Below are 19,761 nucleotides of genomic sequence, written 5' to 3'. Positions count from 1 at the left end.
CAGCCTCCCTAGTAGCTGGGATTACAGGCACCTGCCACCACGCCCAGCTAATTTTTGTATATTTAGTAGAGATGGGGTTTCGCCATGTTGGCCAGGCTGGTCTCGAACTCCTGACCTCAGGTGATCCACCTGCCTCGGCCTCCCAAAGTGCTGGGGTTACAGGTATGAGCCACTGTGCCTGGCCAGGAAAGTTTTTAAAGATTTTCTGGGGTCTCCTTGGCCGAGGGAGATCTGTTCACTCCACTGGGGAAGAGGGGGCTTGGGAATTTATTTTTATTCCATGATTCTTATCTACAGTAAAGTTTGAGGAACACTAGTTTAATAAATTATAAATGTGCTGCTGAAAAGTTTCCACCAAAAAAGTGATCTGGGCAAAGCACATTTGCTATACGTTCAAGCATGTTAATGGTGAGGCATGAACAATGGTACTAACATCCAAAGGGAAACACATTTTTAGGAGGAGGATGACATGTTTTCAGGGCAGCTTCCTGGACTGCCCTCTGTGAGGGCTTTAAGGAGGCTGGGGCTGCTGCTGGGGGGATGTGGGGAGTACCCCGTGCTACCTCCTCCTCCAAGGCCCCACACAGGGGCCTGGCCTTCCTTCCTTCACAGTAGCTCAGGAATCCAAAACGGAGGAAACTGAAGCTGCCAGGCCTTCTTAAAGCCTGGGCTAAAAAGTAAAAGCTTTCACTCACGGGCCCAGTCCAGATTCAAGGGGAGGAGACATAAGCTCCACGTGTTTACCCACCAAAAGTGACTATCTCCCAGTGATGGTTGATACTGAGTGTCAACTTGATTGGATTGAAGGATGCAAAATATTAATCCTGGGTGTGTCTGTGAGGGTGTTGCCAAAGGAGATTAATATTTGAGTCAGTGGGCCGGGGAAGGCAGATCCACCCTTAATCTGGTGGGCACCATCTAATCTGCTGCCAGCGAATATGAAGCAGGCAGAAAAATGTGAAAAGAAGAGATTGGCTCAGGCTCCCAGCCTATATCTTTCTCCCATGCTGGATGCTTCCTGTTCTCGAACATCGGACTCCAAGTTCTTCAGTTTTGAGACTGGGATTGGCTCTCCTTGCTCCTCAAGCTTGCAGATGGCCTATTGTGGGACCTTGTGATTGTGTCAGTTAATAAACTCCTTTATATATCTATACTATTCTGTCCCTCTAGAGAACCCTGACTAATACATCCCCCCCCCATAGAAAGATTGGAATACTTGTCCTCAGCCTAAACTCCCTTTCTTTTTACTGACTGCAAACTGATGAAATTCTATACCTGCTCCCTCTACACCCTACTCCACCCCCAATTTTTATATGTGACATCTGATATCAAACCAGCTTCATTTTGCTCATGGACAGCAAACCAATCATTGGGACTGTGGGTTTTGCAAAAAAGAAAAGATTTTATTTTGTGAGATTGCTTACCAGGCTGCTGAGCAAGGAGAAGGAGAACAAATCGCAAATCCACCTCCCTGAAAACAGGGCTTAGGGGTAATTAGCGGGATAGAAAGCAGGATGGTGTGAAGTATGGGTAAAGGTGATTGGCAGGTGGGAAAGGTGAGGTAATCAGGGTTTCTGCACAAGCATAATTGAGCTACATGGCTCTTCATAGGATGCATGTTCAGAAAATGGTTGAATTAGCATGAAAGGAGGGTGCAGGTTTTGGCCCTTTGACATCAAAAGGTCACACTTTACGCACCCATGCAGGCTCAGTTGAAGGGTTGATGGTCTCAACTGGCTTGAACTCAACAAGAACTGCCTGCTAGCTCCTGCAAAACAACATTAAGCACTTATTATTATGGTGACCCACTGTCAGAGCTGTTATCTATAAGGAGGCTAGTGGAAGTTTAGTTATGCATTGTTTGGCTACTATGACTTGCTAGTGGGAATTTTAAGATTAACTGGATGTAAGCAATTAAAAGCAAGCAAGGCAGGTTAAATTAGGCAGGCTTAATCAGGTTAGCCCTCGGTTTCCCATCTTGCTTAATACATGCTAAAGTAAACAGAATATGAGCTATGTCTTAACCATTTGTTTGGAAGAAATTTTCAGCAGCATATTTATATTTAATTGTTTACACCAGTGCTCTTCAAATGCAAGTAGCTTAGAATTACTCCAGGGAGGCCGGGCGTGGTGGCTCACAGCTATAATCCCAGTGCTTTGGGAGGCTGACACAGGTGGATCACTTGAGGCCAGGAGTTTGAGACCAGCCTGGCCAACATGGCAAAACCCCGTCTCTGCTAAAAAATATGACAAAAATTAGCTGGGTGTGGTGGCACATGCCGGTAGTTCCAGCTACTCAGGAGGCTGAGGCAGGAGGATTGCTTTGACCTGGGAGGTGGAGGGTGCAGCAAGCCAAGATTGCGCCACTGCACTCCAGCCCCGGCAACAAGCGAGACTCTCTCTTAAAAAAAAAAAAAAAAAAAAAATTACTCCAGGGAGTTCTTTCCCCAATGCATATTTCAAGGTCTAGCACTCAGGAATTTTGGTCTCCCCTGTCCGAGGTGGAGCCCAGGAGTGGACATTTAAACAAATTCCCTAGGTGGGTGATTCTAATGCAGGTGGGTTTCCTTGGATGACACATGTGGAAAGCTTATTTTAGAATATTATTGTTTTAAGGTTCACCAACATGGTCATTTGGATTTCATGGCTTTATTCTTAGATGTCATTTTATTTCCTACTTCTTGATCTGTTAAAGAGATGAATGTTAAAGTGGTAAGGACAGATTTTAATCAGTAATATACTATTGCAATAGGGAAGAATGTCCAGCATGAACTAAACTCAACTTGGGAGGTGGTGGGGGGACTGCTAGAGCTTGAGCAGAGTCAGAGAAGTGAAAAATTAGGAAGATTGGTCAGTGTAAATGCCCATTAAGTCAGCTGCAATTAATCAATTAATTAAAGTTAGGGTTGTATTCTCCCAGAGACTAGAGACAGGTACTGTCATTCCTTATGATTACATTTCAAAGGAATGGCTTTCACTGCTGAGTTGTTGGAGAAAGGTGTACATCTCAAAGGGACAGAGGAAGGATTCACAATTGTAAATAGTGCATTGAGTAAAATTTAGTAAATGCTCTAAGAAAGGGTGGTCAGGGGCCTATGGTCAGGTGTTGGCTGGAACAAACAGTAAATTCTTTTAGAAGCCTTGTGCTTTCTCAGGCCCTTTAAGGATAGCTAGGGTCACTTACGGTGGTTGTGGCTCTGAGCTGTTGGTAACTGTTAGTGTTTGCTTAAGTCTTTAAATGGGGAGAGGAAGAGAGTGGACGAAATTGTTTACACTAAGAGTTTGTTGTTTTCATAGGCCAAGGTTGAGGCCTGGCAGATAAGAGGGCTCAGAGGAGCCTGGCTAGATTTTTGTTGAGAACCACGCTTTAGTTTATGTCCCCCAAACCATTCCTAATGGTTTCCCATTAGGAAACCAAGATATGAATAGATTAAATAATTCCTGCAAGGCTATAGAACTAGTCAGTAACAGAACTATTATTCAAAACAAGGTCTCTCTAACATTAGAGTCTATCCCAGAGGTAGGAGAAGGAGCTGGAAGATTGTAGAAGTCAAGATCTGTGAGAAGTGGAAGAAATGACATTCTATAAATGTGCCCTGACTGCAAAACTATTGTTTCATCTGTTAGGTTCAACGTAAATTCTAGAGCAATTTTTAGCATAGGGATACATTCGACTTTAACATGCTATTTTCTTACTTGGTGACTTCAGTTTGGTAAAGATTTTTGCCTACAATCTTTCTTTTAAATGCTTTCAATCTTTCTTTTAGTTCATCCTTTCAGGACTTAATTAGGTTCCAAAGTTTCTTTTAAAAATCATTTATCTCATATCTGTATCAGAATATAACAATTTAAACTTAAAAACTTTAAAAGTTTAACATTAGGTATACATTTTTTAACTAAAGAGAAGCCTAAAATGATAAGGACTTCAATAGGAAACAGTTTGCATGAAATTCCATGGAAGAGCTAAAACTATTAACATTGAGAGACATTTAATAATTCTTCCTCAAACGGTTTTTAATCCTTGGTGTTTAATTCAGTTTTTCCACATAGCTGAAGGTGTCTGACAGTGATGCTTTAATAACTTCTACATTTTGAGTTGGTACTTTGCCCTATCAAAATACATATTAATTACTTGTCAGTTTCATTGAATTTTTGCACTTTTGCTTAATATTTCCATTGTAGTTTTCAATTAGAGGAAACTCAAAGATAAACTGAAGAACTTAACCAAAATCCACTACAATGGTAGAAAAAAAATTATGGCTCATGAATGGTCCATTCATTGAGAGAAATTTTTTTCGAGCTTACATTATTTTGCTGGAAAAAATAGGTGATTTTTAAAAGTTACAATCTCCCTTTTAAGCAAAAAAGGTTAATCTATAATAGCATCAACATAACCATGTATAATTCATGTAGTCAATAAATATTTTCTCAGGGCCTGCTTTCAGGCTGGGTTTACAGAGATTAAAAAGTCATTGGCCCTGTCCACAAAGAATTACAGTGTTTTGGTTTTGTAGTTGCCTTTTGAATTTTTGTATTATTGGTGTTATTTGAGACTCCCTAGCCTTGCCGCCTGTGGACATGAATGGTAATGATCGTAATAGCAAATATCATAATTTCACTAGTCTTGTTCCTAGTTGATGACAGAAGACACTCAGTCATTTGTAAAATCCTCTACCAAATATTTCTGGGGAGTCCCATAGATATCTGATACATGTTGGCACAAAGGTCCATTACTCTGCCGATCATTTCCCTTTGGAGCCATTGCTGATCTGCTGCCCGGGGTCTGTGCTGTCTATGAGCTGCATGGCTGTTTGTAACAAAGCAGGGGGGAATGCCTTCCCCCTTTTTGTTTCGCTCTGCTAGGTTCAGAGGGTTTCATTTAGTCAATTTGTCAGAGAAGACATCCTAAAAGACTCCCACAAACAACAAGAGTGCTAGCTAATATAGAAACAAAAACAACTTTTAAAATGAATGAATGAGTTTGTAAGAAAGTAAAAGATATCTGAGTCCTAGCAACAGGTGTGGGAATCCATGGAAGACGGGGGAACTGACGCTTTAGGGATATTTATGGATCCGGATGTCCAGAGCTTTGATTGCAGGGCTGAAAATAGTGGAAGTGGGAAGGGGAGGCTTGGATTGGTGTAATGGGAGTGGATCTCTAGTCACTCTAAATAAAGTTAGCACCCATGAAGAGCTACAGTTTTTTTTTAATCCCATAAAAAAGAGGCAGAGAGTAAATAAATTTGTCTGTTCAGCCTGGAATCTGAGTGCATATAAAAGTCTCCTTTAAGAATTTGTTGCCACAGCCTGACACTCTCGTAAGTTTGGAGCCTGAATTTACACTATTTGTATCATGTGAAACAAACTTTAATTTAAAGTGGACCCAAGTCTACTGAGTGCTTTGCAGACATGAAGGCAAGTCTTTTCAGGGGGAAGGCACCCTCCATCTGAGGCCTCAAAGAATCCTCAGAACTAGAATTCCAGAGCATCTGAGCAAACAATAAGACACACACACACACACACACACACACACACACACCCCATAAAGAAAGAAGCCACCATGGCAAGAGTCAGCAGAAAAAAAATAGATACTCGAGGGCTTCAGGTATTAGAAATACCAGGTAGAGAATATAAATTATGTTTGATGTGTTTCTAAAAGTAGGACTTTAACAGAAAAAGAAAGTAACGAAATGATCAGCAGCCTTGAGTTTTAAAGAAATATCTTCTAGAAATAAAAATATAATAATATTTAAAAACTTGATGGAAAGATTAAGCAGAGAAAGCTTAAAAGTGAACGTGGGCATTGGAATCGAGATTAGAAGAAATTACACTGGATACAAAACAGAAAGACAATGAGGTATAAAGTGTGAGGGGGGCTGAGACGTACAGAGGATACAATGCCCCATCATCTGTCTAAAGTGAATGGTGTACAGGTGACATGTGAATAGGTAAGAACTGAGAATTTTCTTTTTTCTTTTCTTTTTTTTAGAGCTGTGGCCTTTCTCTGTCAGCCAGGCTGGAGTGTAGTGACACCGTCATAGCTCACAGCAGTCTCAACCTCCTGGGCCCAAGCGATCCTCTCATCTCAGCCTCCCGAGTAGCTGGGACTACAGGCGTGAGCCACGACGTCTGGCAAATTTCTGGCTAGTTAAAACAATTTTTTAAGAGACAGAGTCTGGCTATGTTGCCCAGGTTAGGGCAGAACTTTCCATAAGTGATTAAAACAAATAAAGGGAGTGGGGGAAATTCATATTCTAAACTTCTGAAATTACTCTTTATAAGAAAAGGGGAGGGTGGGGCCAGGTGCGGTGGCTCACGCCTGTAATCCGAGCACTTTGGGAGGCCAAGGCAGGCGGATCACGAGGTCAGGAGATCGAGACCATCCTGGCGAACACAGTGAAACCCTGTCTCTACTAAAAATACAAAAAAATTAGCCGGGTGTGGTGGCGGGTGCCTCTAGTCCCAGCTACTCGGGAGGCTGAGGCAGGAGAATGGCGTTAACCTGGGGGGCGGAGCTTGCAGTGAGCAGAGATCCTGCCACTGCATCCCAGCCTGGGCAACAGAGCGAGACTCTGTCTCAAAAAAAAAAAAAAGGGGGAGGTTGGAAGAGAGAAGTGTGTGTATGGGAGGTGTACGCATGGATGCATACGTGTGTGTTGTATTAGCTTAATGATTATTGCATCACCTTATTCCATTGGGAGAAATTTCTCTTTATCCTGGTTTATACTTGTTATTTATTCTGTCTTTCCCTGCCTCAAATTGACAGTTTTCTTAATGTCCTTTATTCTATTTTATGTTTTGGAAGATATATGTTGTAATTCTTTCTATCCCTTGTTTGTGCTTTTTAAAATTGTAAATTTACCTTTTTCCCCCAATATGTTATTATGAAAGTTTTCACATATAGTATAGTTGAAAGAATTTTACCATGAACACCCATGTACCCACCAATGAGATATCATTAGTATTTTACTATACTTGCTTTATCACATCTTTCCATGTATTTATTTATCTTCCACCTATCCATTAACCCATCTTATTTTCTGATGCACTTCTGAGGCACTTCAAATTATATTACAGATAGTTTACCTTTGCTTTTAAACCAAATAAAACTAAAAAGCTATTTTCACTTTTAAGTCAATAATTGATCAATTTACCAATGTATTTTTTTCTTTTTATGAGATGGAGTTTCGCTCTTGTTGCCCAGGCTGGAGTGCAGTGGTTCAATCTCGGCTCACTGCAACCTCCACCTCCCGGGTTCAAGCCATTCTCCTGCCTCAGCCTCCCAAGTAGCTGGGATTACATGCACCCGCCACCACATCTGGCTAATTTTTTGTATTTTTAGTAGAGATGGGGTTTCGCCATGTTGGGCAGGCTGGTCTCGAACTCCTGACCTCAGGTGATCTGCCTGCCTTGGCCTCCCAAAGTGTTGGGATTACAGGCATGAGGCACCATGCCCAGCCTACCAGTGTATTTTTACCAATGTATTAGTCCCCTTCTTGCACTTACTTGCTGCTGATTTATGCATTTGTTACTGTATGTGCCTCTGGTAGGGCCTATTTCCCAGTTTGATGTTCTGTATAATTTGTGAGTGAGAAAATTGGGGGGAGGAAATGGTCTGTTTGAATTGCATTGCTAATTAGTGTAAATGAGATTTCAGTAAGGGGTTGGACATTGTTTCTTTGCTAAAACCATGCATGAGCTTTATATCTATTTTGGCTGCCAAGATATATTATAAAAGTCTTAGAATATTTATGGAAGGATTGATTGGGATTCTGCAGGCTTTCTAGAGGAAATAAAATTTCTTGAATTGCTCTCAGTGTTATTTTATATTATGATTAAAATTTATATTCTTCATAAAGAGCTAGTGCACCATCCAATCAAATACAAATGTATGACACCTATAACAGGTAGTGTTTAAATGCCCAAATTCAATTTTACTATGCAATTTCAACTTTAAAACAGAAGCAACTTCATATGATGATCTAATCTCTTTTGTCTCTAATATTGAAAAGCATAAAAGGGTTAAATGCTGAATCATTAATGGCTTTTAGCTTAATGGACTTTTTAACTGATAGGAGCTAAAAGGCTGAGCTCCTACTAATGAATCTATGAGCTAATGACAGCTATACATTGATGAGTTAAGAGAAGAAAAATGATTCCCTTTTTTTTTTCTTTGAGACAGAGTCTTGCTCTGTCGGCCAGGCTGGAGTGCAGCGGCACAATCTCGGCTCATTGCAACCTCTGTCTCCCGGGCTCAAGCAATTCTCCTGCCTCAGCCTCCCGAATAGCTGGGATTACAGGGGTGTGCCACCGTGACTGCCTAATTTTTGTATTTTTATTTTTTTTTAGTAGAGATGGGGTTTCACCATGTTGGCCAGGCTGGTCTCGAACTCCTGACCTCAGGTAATCTGCCCGCCTCGGCCTCCCAAAGCGCTGGGATTACAGGAGTGAGCCACCACGCCTGGCCAAAAAATGATTCCTTTATGTGAGATGATGTTAAGTTTTTGTCTAATTCTAAGAAAGAATGTCTGTGGTCATCAGCAAAGTGAATGAGGATTATATTCAGTTCAGTTGAAGTACACTTAATATGCTATAAGGCTAGGAAGAAATAGGAAAATTTTTCTAAATTTATTTCCTTTTCATCAAAGGCTTATATCATCATCAGATCACTACTCTTTGAAGTGGGTAAATCGTAGTACCTTCTCTGTTAGACAAAAACTATTTCATTTGTGGCTTTACCATTACCAGCATGTGACCTTGGTTGGGTCACAGTGATTTAGAGCCTCAGTTTACTAAAGTACATCTATATCTACTTGTAGATACCTGGTATAGTGCTTGAAGCAGGGTAGGTACACAAAACATAGTGATGATGATAATGATGATGATGCCTACTTTGAAACTGTCTCAGATTTTATTTATCTTATTTCCTTAAGCAGTTTACAGTTACCATTTGTGTTGGTTATTTGGAAAACATAATTTTTCTCTTCAGAATGATTTATTCATAAAAAAGAAACTAAGAGAGAGAGAAAAGAGGCTGGGTGCAGTGGCTCACACCTGCAATGTCAGCACTTTGGGAGGCTGAGAGGTGCGAGGCTCACTTGAGGCCAGGAGTTCAAGAACAGTCTGGGCAACATAGCAAGACTCTGTCTCTCCAAACATTTAAAAGAAAAAAAAAAGACTTATTCATGATTTCAAATATTTTTGAACCAGAGATGGACTTTCAGCTAAATTAAGGAGTTGATTAGATGATCACAATAGTATTTGTCAACCAAACTCTTACATATAATGTATTTAATTTTCCTTTGACAGGTTGATAATACCCCAGTTCCACGTGTTGGTACTCCTGGTCATCCTTAACTGTTTATTTTCACTTTGAACCATCTGAGTGCTCCATCTATGTTTTTAAATAATCTTTTCCATGACGTTCTCGGTAACATGTGGTAGTTTAAAGAAAAAGCACGGGATCAAGACCTGAGGACCTTGTCTGAATTTTAGCTCTGTTGTAATCTTGGATTTCTCTAAGCTTTAATATTCTTATCTGTGAAATAGAGATAGACTCTGTCTTCTGAGTCTGTCAATTTTAGCAGTGGCTGTGAGGATGGAAAAGCTCAGTAAGCTATGAACACTCTCAATTATTAACTAATAACACCAATCTGTCAATTCAGAAGCAACATTGCAGAGATCCATACACAACATACAGATTCTAAATTTGGTAAATCTTTAGCTGGGTGTGGTGACACGTGCATGTAGTCCCAGCTATTTGGGAGGCTGAGACAAGAGGATCGCTTGCATCCAGGAGGTTGAGGCTACAGTGAGCTGTGTTTGCGCCACTGCACTCCAGCCTGGGTGACACAGCAAGAGCCTGTCTTAAATAAATACGTACATAAATAAATAAGGTAAAATCCTTATTCCAACCCGTGTCTGATATTCTATATTTTAAGGTAAAATAAATAATGCAAACTCCACTGGTAGAAACACCAAGAGAGGGGTGGTTTCAATGCCTAGAAACTCAAACTAGTTGAAGCATAAAAGAGAATGAACTAGATCACTTACCTGGGAAGATGGAATCATACAGGTGTCTCTTGTTTCAAGCATGCTTGTATCAGATGAAGTCTCTACCTCTTTCTCTTCTCAGTTTTTTTCAATGTATTGGTTTCATTCTTTCACTATATAGACAGGCTTTCTCTCTGGAATGAATAAGATGGATGCTAATAACCCCAATATTCTTCAAACTCTGTGACCCAAAAAGGCAAGGAGCCTTTTCCTCCATTTCCACTTAAAAAAAAAAAAAAATCCCAGGGAAGGATTCTCAACCTGATGCTCAAAGTAGCAGGAATGGAGTTCTTTGGGTCAAGGGGGCAGAGTTTGGGGATTGGCGGCCCCACTAGGAATTATCTGACTGAGTGAATGAAGAGCAGCTAGAACAGTCTCCGAAGGAAGCAAAGGGCCTGGGCAGACAAAAATGACCAGTGTCACTACAAGCACGAGGGAAGAAAGAAGAGAATAATGACGAACAGAAGAGTCTTGCTATCCTTGTGAAACGCTCACCACCTCTTCATTAAATTACCCACTCTGCTGTTTAGGATTAGTGTGACAATCATCTCAGTTTGCCCATGACAGCCCTGTTTCATGCTTGTTGTCCTAGCATAACTATTAAAATCATGGCTTTTTCTTTTCAAAAATATCCCAGTTTGGATACTTTGCTATATAGTCACTGTAAATAAGACCAAGTAGCAATTTGGCTTCAGCCACTCAATCTGTTTTAAGTCATCCTATTCCTTTGATTCAGTTGAACTTGATCAGATCTTTGTCTTTTCTTTTCCAACCCGTGTCTGATATTCAACATTTGGAGTTCTTCTTGTGGCATACATATTCTTACCATCTTCTTCCCTTTTATTGGTCACCTCACATTTCTCCCCTTCCAGGAACTCTTCTGGATTTTAACTAGTGGTGCTGAAGGTTTAAGAACCCACTTACCTGCTCAGAGCATCTCTGCTAGTAGAATTTTTCTTCCAGGGATTGCTTCAAGTTAAATGTATACTCCCTCTCCAAATAGCATAGATTCATCCTGTGACACTTCGGTTGTTGTTTCTTCAGAGTAGAAGCTCTCTGCCAGGCATGAGTTTATGTTTTCTGTCCTTTTGTACATGCTATGGTAAGTGGGGTATGGATGAGGATGGATAAAACAATTAACATGGTGTGAGGCTGGGCATGGTGGTGCGTGCCTGTAATCCCTGCACTGTGGGAGGCCGAGGCAGATCACTTGAGCCCAGAAGTCCAAGACCCCCCATCTCTACAAAAAATAATAAAGTTAGCCCAGCATGGTGGCATGCACCTGTGGTCCCAGCAACTCAGGAGGCTGAGGTGGGAGGATTGCTTGAGCCCAGGAAGTAGAGATTTCAGTTAGCTCTCTTTGTGCCACTGCACTCTGGCCTCAGTGAAAGAGTGAGACCCTGTTTCAAAAACAAAAACAAACAAACAAAAATAGTGTGATGATGGTAAAATAAATAAATTCTTCATGGTGTATTTGCAGTGGTCCCCTTTGCACACCAGCTAAGAAGGAAGCATCCTTTGCCAGTTTGACCAGCTATCTCCTGGCCGTGGTTGTACAGATTGAGTGAAAGTGGTGAAGAGAGTGATGAAACAGAAAGCAACCCCAATATCTATCTGAGAAAGGATGAGACAGAGGAATAAAGAGCCAAGGAAACTTGGTGTGGAGAAATAGGTGGGGTTGTACTGAGGTACTGGAGGACTCCAGTAACCAGCCCTCACACCGCATTCCATGTGCATGGTGTTCCTGCCTCTTCATGTTCTACCGCATGCAATGTGGGCGGGGCTCCCCGGAGGTATACAGTTTGTCAGCCTTGTGCGGTAGGGAGAAGACACGTCTGGTGTTCACAATGAGGGGTTTGATTGAAGGGCACAGCTGCTATGCAGAGAAATACTATGGGGAGACAATGTGTAAAAGATTTTCTGGGAAGTCTGTCATTTATTCAACAAATAATATATATTTTGTCCTCTGCTCTATGCCAGGCACTGTTATAAATTCTGGGGATATAGCAGGGATGGATATAGCATTTGCATGCATATAGATAGAGCACCTGGCATGGCTTACCTTTTAGTGAATGGAGACAGATAATAAGCAAATATACTGTATAGCCATTTAAGTGATGACAAGTGTAATGGAAAAAATAATAGAGCAGCTCTGGAAAGCTGGAGTTGGAGAATGGTCATTGCAAATTTAAAAATGAGCAGTCAAGGTAGGCTTCAGAGAGAGACGACATTTGAGCAAAAACTTGAAGGAGATAAGGGAGGAACCAGGTAAACATCTGGTAGAAAGCCTTCCAAGTGGAGGGGACAGGCTTTGCAGAACTCCTGAAGTTGATGTGTGTCTGGTGTGTTCAGAAATAGAGCCAGTGTGGCTGAAGGTAGTAGGGGGAGCAGGAAATGAGGTGTGAGATTTAGGGGAGCAGGCAGATGACGTAGGGCTTTGAGGTCATTAAACTTTGAGAGAAATGGGAGCTGGTTAGAGGCTTCCCAGCAGAGGCTTTTAATTGCATCACCGCCTAATGCATCTTGATGGATATCATGAATATAATTATCTCAAGGGATATTCAGTATTTGTGTTTCTTTTGATGTGAAACAGTGTAATACTTTGTACAGTATATATTCATTCATGTTACAGTAGGCTCTGCTTATAACTGTCCACAAAGAGGTATTTGTTGAATGAATGAATGAATGAACAAATGGGGTTGACCTTTTCGCTCCCTCCATGCGGGTTCTCAACCTATTATTTCAACTTTATTGCCCCTACACCCTTTCTCAACTTGGGTTCTATTCACCCGTCTTGTTGAGTACTAATTAGGAAAAAAAAAAAGGCAGGCTAGTGGGAGCAGGGAAAAACAAAGAGATAAGGCAAATTAGCTATACGTCTGTCTTTCTTCATGGTCCAAAACATATAAACAAAAGGAAGAAACAAATAAGCCATAGGTCTACTTTTCTTTATGGCCCAGGACATATGGCCCTTCTACCCAGATAACGTACTTAACTCACAAACTTCCTGCTTACCTTCAAATGCCTCAATTTCTGAAACACTTCAGCTGACAAAAAAAAAAAAAAAAAAAGAAAGAAAGAAAAAAAAAAAGCAAGTTAACTCCCTGCTACCTGGTGTTATCAATCACTCCAAGTTCCAGTCTATAAAATTCTCAACAAGCCTTTGTTTCCTAGCAATGAGCTCCTCCTCTGCTGAGTCGGCCCGCTGCTCCCTGGCAACGAACTTTCATACTTTCTTTAATCTGTCTTTCTTTATCTACCACTGTCTTGGTAAATTCTTTTACTCCCACACTGAGAAAGTCGTCACTCACTGGCGACACGTTGAAAGAGTTCTTTCAACTCTGTATTTCTGCCTCTGTCTCTGCTCATTCCATTTCCCGCTACTTGAAATGCTTCTCCAGTAGATTAAAATTCTGCCTATTGTTAAAGACGCAGGGACAAGCTCCACGTCCTCCAGGAAATCCCTGCAGACTCTGGCCTTCGTTGCCTTTTCTGAGCTCCTGTAGCATCCTTCCTCTGCTACCTTTCATTGGATAACTTTAGTTGTTTATTTTAAAACCACTGTTTGAACTCTCTCTACGTGTTAGGCAAAGAATATACAAATGAACATTAGCATTTCAGTGGGGTACCTTTACCATTTCTGTTTTATGGAAACTGAGTTATAAGAGAGGCTCAATGACTTGGCCGATCTCATGTAGATTAATGAACAAGGAGTGTATCAGGACCGGGACACAAGTCGTTCCCAAGACAAGCAATAGTCCCTGTCCTTCCTACTCATAAAAGGGTTAACCTAGCATTTCCTTGCCGTGAAACAAAAGCGGCCGCGGATAGAGAAGCTTGTCCTGTGAGGGATTCCGTAGAGACACTCCTCCGCTGCCTGAGTCCTCGGCGAACATGGCGGCCCCCGAGTCAGGGCCGGCTTTGAGTCCAGGCACTGCAGAGGGTGAGGAGGAGACGATTCTCTATGACTTGTTGGTCAACACCGAGTGGCCACCGGAGACTGAAGTACAGGTGAACCAGGCCCATCTACAGCAGCAGCCAGCTTGGCGCGGGCGCTTCGTGGGTAGAGCCACGTAGCAGGAGCCACGTAGGGGAGTGGAGACGGGTGGGTGGGGGACTAGGGCCGGTTGGCTTGTGCGGTCGCCTTGGCAACGGCACCTTGGGCTAGCGGGGGTCTAGGGCGGGGTGGGGTGGTGGTCCCTGAGATTCTTCCTGGGCTCAGAATTCGGTTGTTGGGGGCTGGAACTTCGTGCTCTGGGGAGCGTACGATCCCACTTTGGTTCTCAGTTTCGCTCTCTGTATTGGGAGGAGAGGGGATTGTTAGTGTCGCTCTCTGTATTAGGAGGGGAAGGCACAGCGCTGGACTCGAGGGTCCTTTCTCCTATCTGGACCCTCAGTGGTCCCTTCTCGCGGTCTGGCTAGGGCTAGTCTGGGCCGACGCTCAACTGCGATGGGAGAATTTTCCAGGACCTTACAGTCTGCAGCATCTGCCAGGCTGGTGCAGAGCGCAGAATCTGAGCCTTTACCCATACTGGGGGCTGGATCGCGCCAGGTCTTGTGTGTTTCAATAAAAGAGCATTTAATAAGGGTGTGCGTGTCCGTTCGTCTGTCTCGGTGTCACAGGTGCTGTGCTAGGTGCTAAGGATACAGAGATGAATATGTTTTCGTGGAGCTTCTCGTCTAGAGGGGAGACAGTCCCGTAAACGTTTTTCATAACCTAGCGTTTTATGCGCTATAGTTAGCGATGTGAGCAAAATGCCACGGAAGTGCAGAGTAAAGAGCTGCTGACTGGGATTGGGATCTCCGCTACAGAAGGGTTATAGAGGTTGATAATTTATGGACTGGATCTTGGGATTATCAGTTGTTTGGTAGTGAAGGCCTCCCGGGTCTGTGATGAAGAGTAGGAACCATGGATCCATGTTTATTTTATTTTATTTTTTATTATTATTATTTTTTGGATCCATGTTTATTTAACAGATATTTATTGAGTGCTTAACACGTGCCAGTTACTGTTTTAGACCCAGAGGAAGCAGCCAGATCGAAAAGAACCTTTATTAAAGATTATGTAGTCCAGCCCATGTGAGTTATCTTACATTTTTTCTGAGTGTTTCTTTGCTGGAGAAACGACTCATTTTTCAGCCCAAAGTTTGTATTTTTTTCCTCTGTAGCCTCCTTCCCACTGCAGTTTGTGCTTATCATGAATAATTTATTTTGTAGACGGGTAGAGATCTGCATATATTACTGTTTAATTTCAAGTACTTAGTTTGTCTTAATGTGAATATTTTTTGGGTTATGCAGCTAGGAAGCTGTTGCTGAGGCAGCTGGTTAGATAAGTTTCCACTCCTTAACACTCATTGGTTAATTGCAGTAATGTTTCAGAATGCTTACCATAAATTGATTCCAAAAAAGTAACCACAGAATTAACTTACTTTGAAACCCTTAGCACTTTGTTTTGTGTTTGTGTGTTGGGGGTGGGGGAGTTCAATTGATTTCTGCATTCTATCGATTTCTGCATTCTGTTGATTTCAGCTGTTGAATTATAAGCTCTTGGAGGGCAGACATCTGATTCATCTTTATATCTCTTCCCAGGGCCAAATTGTGTCTTGCATGAATCCAACAATCAATTCATGTTTATTGAGTGAAATAACTTTTCTGTGTTTTTTAAAAAAATCTGTCTACACTTACTGTATGTCCATTGTGCTTTTCTTGACAGCACTTTAGTGCATCTTATGCAGTGCCTAGCGTCATGAACCTACCCACGGTGTGTTCAGTCTATACTTATGGAATGGAATTATTTAATATAGCAATTACGTATCTGTGTATGTTTTGTTAGTAGCATTGTCTGTATAGATACACAACAGATAGTCAATGAATTGGCCTTGGAGATATGACCACTTTTCCTGTGAGCAAAACTTACAGCCTCAATAGAGTATGCTGAACTGGCAACCAGTATGGTCTTTGGCCTTGACTTCTCTTGTCTTTGGATTGGTTTTTGATTTGGAAACAGTTTCCAGCTTCAATCCTTGTTCTTTCCTGCAAGGTTAGTCCTGACATGTGCCTGTAGCTCTGCTATGCTCACTTTTCTCCTATTGTCCCGCGTCCTGTGTCTACTTTTTTTTTTTTTTTTTTTTTTTTTGAGGCAGGGTCTCACTCTGTCACCCAGGCTGGAGTGCAGTGGCATGATCAGGGCTCACTGTAGCTTCGTAGCTTCAACCTCCTGGGTCACCTCAGCTTCCCAAGTAGCTGGGACTATAGGCATGCACCGCCATGCCTGGCCAATTTTTGTATTTTTTGTAGAGATGAGGTTTTGCCACGTTGCTCAGGCAGGTCTGGAGCTCCTGGGCTCAAGCAGTCAGCCCACCTTGGCATCCCAAAGTGCTGAGATTACAGGCGTGAGCCACTGCACCTGAACATCCAGTCTTTAAGTAGTTTTAAGACACTGCTTCCCTGTGCCCAAAACTCTGAGTATTAGTAAATAAAAATAAGTTTACATATTGTATAAGTAATACTGGTCTAATACTACTAGAAGATTCAAATGTAAGTGTTTTTTGTTTTAAATTCCAGCCTAGAGGCAACCAAAAACATGGTGCATCCTTTATCATCACGAAAGCAATTCGAGGTAAATATAGCTTATTTCTCTACAGTAATGATATGGTTAACAGTTAAAATGTGTTCTTTAGACTTCTGATGTGGAGCCTAATAAAAGTAATGTGTGTTATCTGAGTTTAATTATATATATATTTATATATACACACATATGTATGTATATGTATACATTTGTATATTTACGCATGCACGTTTTTAGCTCTAATGCAGCTTAGAGCTAAAGTATATAGCTTTGGTTTAACCATTATGGATGTATTCTAGAACAGGTGTCCTCAATTCCTGGGCCATGGACTGGTACCAGTCTGTGGTCTGTTAGGAAACAGGCTGCATAGCAGGAGGTGAGCGATGGGTGAGTGAGCATTACCACCTGAGCTCCACTTCCTGTCAGATAAGCGGCAGCATTAGATTATCAGGGAAGTGCAAACCCTATTGTGAACTGCACGTGTGAGGGATCTAGGTTGCATGGAAAAATTGTCTTCCACAAAACCAGTCCCTGGTGCCAAAAAGGTTGGGGGACGCTGTTCTAGAAGGAATGAAGGTCAAAGCCAGTATGAGTCTCAGAAAGTCAGTGGATGTTGAAGGTGAAAATACACTGAGAGACTATTTTAAGAGGTCTATGTGGTGTTTCAGATAGATCTGGTCAGAGATACTCAAATTACAGATTTGATAAGCCAGGGTATTCATTTAACTCCTGACAAATTTTACGTATGAACTAACAAGAGTCTGAGAAAGGATTGAGCACTAGGTTTACTGAGCTGGTGCCATGACGGGTTTACCATATTCATTAATAGAGTCCTTTTATCAGACCAGAAAGGTGCCGTTACTCCTTTATGATTTTAGATAAGAAAACTTGCTCAAGGTCATTCATTTGGAATTTGACTGCATGTCTTTCTGGCTTCAAAGTCCATCCTTATACCAGTGAATTTAAGTTCCTTATAAAGAGAAAATTCATTTTCACAGAAGTTAAGTACTTGAAATTAACTGTAATCTTCTGATTATCCTTTTATCTTCTGATAAAATTACAGTTAATTATAGTTAATTTTATCTTCTGATACAAGAAGCACTAGCATATTCAGTTTTCATAATGACAAATGCTTTTAAATTTTGAGAATTTAGAAAATGTGTACAAATAATAAAAATTCATTGTAGAAAATACAGACACTATAGATAACTACAAATTAGAAAAAAATTTGTCCTCATACCACCTAGAGAGAATCTGTTATTCTTTAGATATTTTTCCATTGATATATACCTAACTGCATACACAGGTACACACATACATGTACATTTAGGATGATAGAAAGCATTGTTTTTTATAGCGTGTTAGAGGTTTTGTTTTCCGTGGGCTTTCCCATTTTAGGTATTACTGTTTTAAAAATCTTTGCTATAAAGTGTAAAATATATCTTGCTTTAATTTTTTATACAAATATTTTGGTTTCTAAGGGGTGATTATTATAACTTCTAGTCCATGGTTTCATGAAAGCTTCTTAGATTAAATTTAACATCTCAAACTGCTTTTATTTCTTGAACAGTTAGGAAATACTTGAAACTTTTGAATAACACACAAACATGGAATTTAATAAGTATATGACCCTGTAAATGTTACAGTGTATATTAGGTTATATTTAGTCTCTCATTTTAAGACTTGAGTTCTTTATTTTTTTTAATGACTCGCTCTGTAGTATATTTTAGATTTCTCATCTATAAATCTAATTTGAAAATGATTCTTAACAGCTGATTTATATTTGGCTTTGCCATTTCTTTTGATTACAGATCGTTTATTATTTTTACGCCAATACATCTGGTACAGGTGAGTCTTCGGTTCTTCAGAGAAACAGTATGAACATCAAATATAAACAATATTGTTCTATATATGATTTGTTTTCATAATTGAATTCTAGATCATGATAAAGTTGCTGACATTCAGGCAAACTCAGTATGAGACATTTCAAACATTTAGGTAGAATCTGACAAGATATCTCAGTAGACTTAGGGTAGTTTTTGTTCCCTTAGTTACTATTAAGAATGTCTCATGACAATTTCTGCTTCCTCTGATGACTATTCTCAGGCTTATCTTGAATGTCCATATGAAGCATCTGTAGCCTGCATATCTTTTAAAATACATTTTTGTTCTTGTCATGTCATCTCACTTGTGGTTAATATTCAACTGCTGTATATCAGAGAAGGTTCTTTAGGTTTCAGTTCTTGTATATTTTTTAATTCCTTGAGTGTTAAGTATATTTGCAGGGATGATGCTAATTTCCAGCTTTAGAAAGAACAAAGAAATTATTATTATGACAAAAAAGTTATAATTCTGCTTTTAGATACATGTGTAGGAATTGTTTTATAGAATTATTTACATAGATTGCTTCTTCGTTGAGGATATCTTGTCGTAAAGTTCCAGAGATAATATAGTTCCATAAAAGAGACCTTTGGCGTTCTCTAGGACTTGCTCCAACGTCTTTCTGCTTTTACTCTATGTATGTGTGTGTGTATGTGCATACATGTATATATGTATGCATATTTACAATTTCTATACTTAATTGTGTCACTTTTTTTGTGGGTGTGGGATATGATAGGATAGAGCAATGAGTAGGAAGAGAGAGTGGAAGGAGAGGATAGGAGTGTGGGAGGTGGGCTGTGTTTTCTGACTTCTCTAGGCGACAGCTTGTTAGTCCTGAACACCCTTGGATGAGGTGTCAAGCTTGTCTTGTTCAGGTTGCTGCTTGATAATTCTTTTTTTTATTTATTGAGAAGGAAGACTCAAAAAGTTAACTCTGCTACAAGCCCTGTCCTCTGTGTGAGAACCTTATGATCAGGCATCAGAAGTAGGTATCTTTTTGTCTCCCTTCCTCCTGAGAAGCCTTTTTCCTTGAATCATTGTACAGGTTGCAAATGCACCATTAAGTGATTCATCTGTCTCATGATATGCTGCTTTCAAAAAGATTATAGTTCAATTTGTGCTCTTGAGTTTATGGTAATTAAACCCAAAGGTTTTGGGGTCAGTATTTGTTTCAAGTGACTTTTTCTTCTTTTTTTAAAAAAGTTCTTTTAATTATGAAATATAAACATACTGAGAATTATTGACAATATAATAAACCT

The 19,761-nt window shown here is 40.5% G+C and overlaps 1 protein-coding gene and 1 long non-coding RNA gene across 9 annotated transcripts in view, besides 1 other annotated feature; one reads left to right on the top strand and one right to left on the bottom strand.

The window, feature by feature from the left end:
• Positions 1-1,382: 1,382 nt before the first annotated feature.
• LOC105373440 (uncharacterized) lies at positions 1,383-13,104 on the bottom strand. The gene is made up of 4 exons (XR_001739297.2): positions 13,069-13,104; positions 10,978-11,150; positions 10,054-10,187; positions 1,383-1,768 (listed from the first exon to the last, which is right to left on the bottom strand). It is a non-coding gene; the product is annotated as an uncharacterized LOC105373440 (long non-coding RNA).
• Positions 13,719-14,128: an enhancer, noted in NCBI's record as "active region_15346". NCBI's record gives its function as "activates an Ori minimal core promoter by ATAC-STARR-seq in GM12878 lymphoblastoid cells {active_cell/tissue: GM12878}" and the evidence as "EXISTENCE:reporter gene assay evidence [ECO:0000049][PMID:35858748]".
• Positions 13,918-19,761, top strand: part of NBAS (NBAS subunit of NRZ tethering complex) — a 782,426-nt gene continuing 776,582 nt past the window's right edge. For all 8 annotated transcript variants that reach the window (XR_007076390.1, NR_052013.3, XM_017004317.2 and 5 more), the window contains exons 1-3: positions 13,918-14,064; positions 16,618-16,672; positions 18,433-18,469. Coding sequence is in view for 6 of the 8 variants with exons in the window: in XM_017004317.2 (XP_016859806.1) it covers positions 13,948-14,064; positions 16,618-16,672; positions 18,433-18,469 (209 nt within the window). In the remaining 2 variants the exon portion in view is untranslated. The remainder of the gene's footprint in view (positions 14,065-16,617; positions 16,673-18,432; positions 18,470-19,761) is intronic.

Source organism: Homo sapiens, chromosome 2 (assembly GCF_000001405.40).
Source record: "Homo sapiens chromosome 2, GRCh38.p14 Primary Assembly".
NCBI classification, from domain to species: domain Eukaryota; kingdom Metazoa; phylum Chordata; class Mammalia; order Primates; family Hominidae; genus Homo; species Homo sapiens.
Note: the sequence above shows the minus strand (reverse complement) of the source record. Positions and strands in the feature narration are given on the sequence as shown.